The following is a 7,867-nucleotide window of genomic DNA, read 5'->3' on the forward strand; positions in this document are numbered from 1 at the left end:
CCTCAAAAATCCCAGGGTTTTTCTGAAACTATACAATATATTTTGTTATATCATATGTATATATCCTATAAATTAACAAAAATTGCAAGTTGAGTTCTCCAACTATTCTCCTGACATAACTGAATCAGAAGAACCGTTTTCTAACTTCTCTGTGAGAATAAAATCACCATTTGATACACAGGTCTGGAGGATCTCAAGATTGGCTGCATATTTCTGCCCCATCAATGTTTTCTTCTCCTAAGCATTTTTTCCTATCCTTGCACAGAAACTTCAAAACCTCTTTTGTCATCATAGTCACTAATTCTGGCTGTGCAAACACACTAGGTAATAAGTCCAACTCCCCATACCCTGGCAGCATTTGGGATGTTGGAAGACTGCAACTTTTCTCTAAGACAGAACTTATCATGGCATATAGTGGGTTAAATCTGTACCCTGCATCATTCCAAAGTTGTTTTTTAAATTAAAATTAATGTATATATTGCCATGTGAAAAAAAGAGAAACAAATTTCTATTACTGTTCAGAATTTTGATTTGAGACCAATTCACATTTTTAAGTGGACTAATATTTTAGATGACTAATTTATCACCCTACCCATCTCAAATAATGAATGGGAGAGGGCCTGAATAATATGGATTGCTTATTACAGCATCTGCAAGACAGCATATTGTAAACAAAAGTTTGTCAAACTGAAATGTTCAGTTAAATAAGTATTGGTCTGTCTTAAGTAACTTATGACCAGTATGATTGCTGAAAAAACCCTATTTACCACGTCCCTTGTATTTGTCAGCAGTTGGGGTGATACAGTGATTATATTTAGATCAGAAAATCCAAAAATAGCCAAATTTTATTCTTAACTACTTCTACTAGACTCCATAAGCTTCCTATGATTCATAAATAGGAAGGCAGACAAAGCAAAATAATACTTTAATAGCCAAAGCTTTGTCTCCAAATTTTAATGTAGAACTCTGAGTTCTGCTTACCTATATAAATAAATACTTTTCCCTAAACCAGATCACCTTGAATTAGTTAGTTCTGTCTATTTCACCTAACCTTGAACTAGACTTTCAGTTCTCAATACTATGATATAAGGAAGATCATACCAATTACAGCAAGCTTCACAAAAAAGAGTAAGAAAAAGCTCTTATCCATATAATCCCATAATGACCCAGGAATACTGTGTAAAAATTGGAGAATAGTTATCTTTTACCAATTCACAAAAAATATAATATTAATAAATATGGATTCTTAATTTTAGGTTCTCCTGTGTGTGTTGTTTTCTTGTGCAATATCTGCAATCACTTATTTCAACCAGAATCTATAAGATGGTAGCTAATTTAGCTCAAATACTTTAAAACTGTTCTTAACAGTGGTGGCTCACACCTGTAATCCCAGCACTTTGGGAGGCCAAGGCAGGAGGATCACCTGAGGTCAGGAGTTCCAGACCAGACTAACCAACATGGCAAAACCCCATCTCTACTAAAAATACAAAAATTAGCCATGTGTGGTGGTGGGAGCCTGTAATCCCAGCTACTTGGGAGGCTGAGGCAGGAGAATTGCTTGAACCCAGGAGGCAGAGGTTGCAGTGAGCTGAGATCGCGCCACTGCACTCCAATCTGGGCGATAGAGCAAGACTTTGTCCCAAAAAAAAAAAAAAACAAAACAAAAAAACAACTGTTCTTAAGTTGTATAAGTCAGTATCTCATATTGTTCTACAAAGAGCACATTGATTTCTAGGTTTCCCACCAATGGAAGAATTTTAAGAACCTTTCATCAAAAGCAATGGTACAGAATCACCTTAAGGGCTCATTAATATAGATACTGCTGGGTTCTACTCCCTGCAATTCTGATATAGTATCTAAGATGAGTCCCAAGAATTTATATTTCTAATAAGTTCCCAGGTGATAATGATGATGAACCACACTTTGAGAACCGCTGTCGTAGAAGGCGAATATAAATGAACCTGTTTCACTTTCAGGTATACAGGAAGGTATAGTATAGAACAAAGATAATAGGTTTTAGATTTAAACAGAACAAAGTTTAAACCCCTGGGCTATCTTTTTCTAATTGTCATCTAACCTCTAAGTATCTTTCTTAATCTTTAAAATGAAGTAATAATAACCGCCAGTACAGCTATGTGGTAAAGTTTAAATATAACATGCTTATAGAGCCTGGTATAAAGTAGGTACTCAAATATTGGTTTCTTTCCGTGCTACATACGTTTCTTAATGTGTGTATAGCCCCCATCATCCTTTCTCTTCCAAGAATAAGTTCATAGAAAGAACTCATCAACTTAATTTCTTTTGACGCTGATGACAATTTTTTTTTCAACTAAGAAAATATCTAGGCTTACTCAGCTCCAAAGTCATTGTTTATTTAATTTTTTTTTTTTTTTTTTTTTGAGACAGAGTCTTGCTCTGTCGCCCAGGCTGGAGTGCAGAGGTGCGATCTTGGCTCACTGCAAGCTCCGTCTCCCAGGTTCATGCCATTCTCCTGCCTCAGCCTCTCGAGTGGCTGGGACTACAGGCGCATGCCACCACACCCAGCTAATTTTTTTTTTGTATTTTTAGTAGAGATGGGGTTTCACCGTGTTAGCCAGGATGGTCTCAATCTCCTGACCTCGTGATCTGCCCACGTCGGCCTCCCACAGTGCTGGGATTACAAGCAAGAGTCACCTCGCCTGGCCTCTTTAACTTTTAACTACAGTTAAGGGTATTTTGCATATAGCAAAGATGTAATAGAATATAAGCAAAGCAAACCAATCGCGTGGGTAAGTACAGGGTAAAAGTTTAAAATTTAAATCCCAATTATGGGTTCACTTAACTGAATAGTCTAGTAGGTCCCATTGAATAACCTGGTATTTCTACCTACCTACAGTAACAGTTAAAATAATAGCAATGATAAAGATAACCATACCACAACCACTACTATAAGTATAGCCCTTTAATAGGTCTATCCACCTTTTGTAATATACAGATTTTTAAGTCACAAACTTTGTGACTAAATTAAAGACTGGGTCTGGATAAATGGATGAAAATTCAACCCTTGGCTTTACAATTGTAACTATAACAACAAAATGTAAAAGGAATACAACTTAAGATGAAGTTCCTCTTGAAAAGATCTGATATTAACTGGGATATCTAAATCTTAGACATAATAAATTTTTATACAAATCATATGAGATATATGCCTCACAGCAATGACTTTGAAACAACAAAATAAAACTTTTTTTCCTGACCTCTTTTCTAAAGAAAATGAACTTTGTTTATAGGGGCAGCAAGTAGAATTGAAATCTAACAGAAAATCTTTTCTGCATTTGAAATAATATTTTTAGAGTATGTATCTTTTGTTTATTTGCTGGTTAGCTTGTCTGAAAGGAGGCCCCCAAAAAGATTTGTGCACATCCTCACCCCTGGCACCTCTGAATGTTACCTTATTTGGAAAAAGGGTGTTTTCATTTGAGAAAATCATCCTGGATTATCCAGGTAGGCTCAAAATTCAATGTCGAGCGTTCTTATAAAAGGGAGACACATAGACGAGAAGACACACAAAGAAGGTGATGTGAAGACAGGGGCAAAGATTGAAGTGATGTGGCCACAAGCCAAAGAAGCCAAGGAATGCCAACAGGCACCAGAAACTGGAAAAGGAACAGAAGGATTTTTATTGAAAGCCTCCAAAGGGGGTGTGACCCTGCCAACACAGTAAGTTTTCTGAATTCTGGCCTCCAGAGCTGAGAGAGAATAAACGTCTGTTATTTTAAGCTACCTAATTTGTTGCAGTAGCCATAGAAAACTAATAAAATGTTCCAACTTTCCATCACATGTTTGGTCTTTCGAAATAGCCCCCATCCTGAAGCTAGAGGCTTTCAAGTGTCACCTCATCAGAATACTCAGCTATGGCTTAAAGAAGCCATCATGAATAACAAGTCAATCCTATTACTCAGGAAATTCCAAGGGTTTTTGAAGCTCTGGGCCAGGAACTTGGGACAAAGAACAATACATTATTGTTTATATTAGGGAAATGCAAATGAAAACTACAGTGAGATACTACTTCATACCCACTAGGATGTCTACAATCAAAAGATGAAAAATAACAAATGTTGGTAAGGATGTGAGGTAAATGGAACCTTTGTGCATTGCTAGTGGGATAGTAAGTGGTAGGGCTATCTTTGGAAATGGCTTGTCAAAGAGGTAAACATAGAATTACCATTTGACCTAAAATTTCCATTCCAATATGAACTAAAAGCAGGTATTCAATCAAATACATATGAATGTTCATGGCAAAATTAGTCATAACAGCCAAAAGGTAGAAACAATCCAAATGTCCATCAACCCATAAATGAATAAACAAACTATGGTAAAGACATACAGTAGAAAATTAGCAATACAAATAAATGAAGTACTAATACATGCTATAACATGGACGAACCTTAAAAACATTATGCTAAGTGAAAGAAGCTAAGCACAAAAAGTCATATACTGTATAATTCCATTTATATGAAAAGGTCAGGGTAGGTAAATTCATACAGGAAGTAAGTGGATTAGTGGTTTCCAGGGGTGGGGAGAGAGAAGGCGAGGGACTGCTCATTCTTTTTTGGAGTGATGAAAATGTTCTAGAATTAGACAATGGTGATGGCTGTACAATCTTGTGAAGTGGCTCTTTAAGAGCCACTGAATTTTCCCTTTCATAACCATGAATTTTTAACAGGTGAATTACATCTCAATTTTAAGAATTCAAAATCAGCTGAGCATGGTAGCACAGGCCTGTAATCTCAGTGCTGTGGGAGGCCAAGGTGAGAGGATCACTTGAGCCCAGGAATTCAAGACAAGCCTGGGCAACACAGCAAGAGCCCATCTATACCAAAAAGCTTTAAAGTATGTAGGTGTGGTGGTGTGTGCCTGTAGTCCCAGCTACTTGGGAGGGTGAGGCAGGATTGCTTGAGCCCAGGAGTTAGAGGTTGCAGTGAGCTATGATCATACCTGGATGACAGAGCAGGATCCTGTCACACATACACACAAAAAAAGAATTCAAAATCAAAGCAATTTACATATTCATTAAAGAAGAAAAATCATATCATAGTCTCAATAGAGATTCAAAAACACATTTAACAACATTAAATACTTCTGATTTTAAAAACCCTTAGCCAATTAGAAATATAAGAGTACCTAACTCAATCTGATAAAAGGCATATATAAAAACCTTACAGCTAAGACCGTATATAATGGTGAAATACTTAACATTTTTCCCTGAGATAAAAAACTAGGAAATATTGACCATTCAATATTTGTATTCAGCATTGTAGTGGAGGTCCTATCTAGTGAAATAGGTCAAGAACAAGAAATATAAGCCATAAAGGTTAAAAAAGAAGTTGTAAACATTTCTATTCAACAATGATATGGTTGTTTATGTAGAAAATCCTAAGGAATCCACCAAAAAACTATTTCAACTAATAAGTAAATATAATGTAGCAAAGTTACAGAGAAAGTGTCAATATAAAAAATTCACATATTTCTATATATTAGCAGCAAACAATTGGAAAATAAAACTAAATTTTACCTACAATCATATCAAAAACATAAGCTACTTAGGAAAAAATTTTTAAAAAGTAAAGCAAGAACTCTACATCATAAACTATAAAACACTGTTGAGAGATACTAAGGAAGACTTAAAAATTTGGAGAGAAATAACATGTTAATCTAGTGGAAGACTCAATATTTTTAAGATATCAGTTCTTTCCAAATTGATCCATACATGCAACGCAACCTCAATCAAGATGCCAACAGAAATTTTAGAAATTGAGAAACTTACTATAAAATTTATATAAAAATACAAAGAACCAAAAATAGCTAAAGCAATCTTGAAACAGAAGAACAAAATTGGAAAATCTATATTTACTGACTTGAAGATTTACTATAAAGCTATAATCATCAAGATGTTATGATGCTGGCATAGGAACAGAAAAATAGAGCAATGAAATAATACAAAAAGCTCAGACACAGATCTATACTTATATGGCCTTTTAATTTTCAATAATGGCACCAAAGGAATGCAATCAAAAATGAAAATTCTTTTAAACGATCAGAGGTAAGGCAACTGGATATCAGTATGGGAAAAAGTAACCTCAACACTATATACAAATATTAAATTGAGATGAATCATAGAGCCAACATAAAATCGAAAACTATAATGATTCTAGAATAAAATATGGGAATATCTTCATGACTTCGGAGTAGGCAAAGGTTTCTCAAACAGGATATAAAAAGCAGTAACCACAGAAGAAAAATTTGACACATTAGACTTGATCACAAACTGTAACTTTTAAGCTGGGTGCAGTAGCACACACTTGTAGTCCCAGCTATTTGGGAGGCTGAGGCAGGAGGACTGCCTGAACCCAGAAGTTCGAGACCAGCCTGGGTAACACAGTGAGAGCCTATCTCTAAATACAATAATAATAATAACTTCTGCTCATCAAAATATATCTTTAAAAAATAGGCAAGCCTGGCCAGGCGCAGTGTGGCTCACGCCTATAATCCCAGCACTCTGGGAGGCTGAGGTGGGTTGATCACCTGAGGTCAAGAGTTCGAGACCAACCTGGCCAACCAACATGATGAAACCACATATCTACTAAAAACAAAAATTGGCCGGCCGTGGTGGAGGGCCCCTGTAATCCCAGCTACTCAGGAGGCTGAGGTAGAAGAAACACTTGAACCCAGGAGGCGGTGCAGTTCCAGGCACACTCCAGCCTGGGCAAGAGTGAGACTCCATTATAAAATAAATAAAATAAAATAAATAAATAAAATAAAATGGCAAGCCAAAGAGGCAGAAAATATTTGCAAAAAAATCTAACAATATGTATGTAGAATATAGAGAATACACAAAGAATGCCTACAAATCAATAATGAGAAACAATCCACTTAAAATGACAAAAAATTGAACAAATACATATGTGATGATATGAATACCTAATAAGCACATGAAAAATACTCAATATCCTTTGAATATCATGGGAATGCAAAGTAAATCTATAACGAAATACTACTTTATACCTTGTACAAATGGCTAAAAGTAAAAGACTAAAAGCATCAACTCCTGGAAAGGATGTGGAGAAATTATATATTGTTGGTGAAAATATGTAAAAGGTATAACATTTTGGAAAAAGGTCTAATGGTGTTTCTATAAAATATTAGTCATACACATGATTAATATCCTATAACACAACAATTCTGCTCAAAGTATTTCCTCATGAAAAATGAAAACAGAAGGCCACAAAAAAAAGACTTAACAGGGCATTTATATCAGCTTTAGTCATAATAGCCAAAACCCTGAAAATAGCCAAGAAGTTCAACAAGAGAAAATTGAAAAACAAATATATTTATAAAACACAATACAACTCAGCAACAAAAACAAATGAACTATGATACATGAAACCACATGGATGACCCTCAGAAATTATGCTGAATGAAGGAAGAAGTCTTACACAAAACAGTATATACTGAATGACTCCAATAATATAAAGTGCTAGAATAAACAAAACTAACCCACGATTAAAAAATCAGAAAAGTAGTTGCTTGGAAACTGCAGGAGGGGAGGTGCAGAGATTTACTGGGAAGGGACATGAGGAAAATTTCTCAGATAATGGTGGTAATCTAGTCTTAATGCATTTAGTTTATAAAAGTGTATACATTTGTAAAAACACATCAAATGTAAACTTAAAAAGTTTGTGTACTTCACCAAATGTAAATTTAACCTAAAACTAAAACATAAACACATATTGAAATGTAGTTAGTTGTATACATGCTAAACTATTTAGGAATGAAGTGTCCTCATATCAGCAATTACTTTGAAATACATCAAAATAATAAAGATGGG

General features: G+C 35.1%; 1 protein-coding gene across 22 annotated transcripts in view, besides 1 other annotated feature; it reads right to left on the minus strand.

The window, feature by feature from the left end:
• The window catches only part of TBCK (TBC1 domain containing kinase), a 275,085-nt gene that overhangs the window by 228,512 nt on the left and 38,706 nt on the right, over positions 1-7,867 (minus strand). The gene's annotated exons all lie outside the window — the stretch shown is intronic.
• Positions 3,658-4,160: an enhancer, noted in NCBI's record as "NANOG hESC enhancer chr4:107194925-107195427 (GRCh37/hg19 assembly coordinates)". NCBI's record gives its function as "activates a minimal SCP1, AML or CMV promoter by ChIP-STARR-seq in primed H9 embryonic stem cells {active_cell/tissue: H9 hESC(primed)}" and the evidence as "EXISTENCE:reporter gene assay evidence [ECO:0000049][PMID:30033119]".

Source organism: Homo sapiens, chromosome 4 (genome assembly GCF_000001405.40).
Source record: "Homo sapiens chromosome 4, GRCh38.p14 Primary Assembly".
NCBI classification, from domain to species: domain Eukaryota; kingdom Metazoa; phylum Chordata; class Mammalia; order Primates; family Hominidae; genus Homo; species Homo sapiens.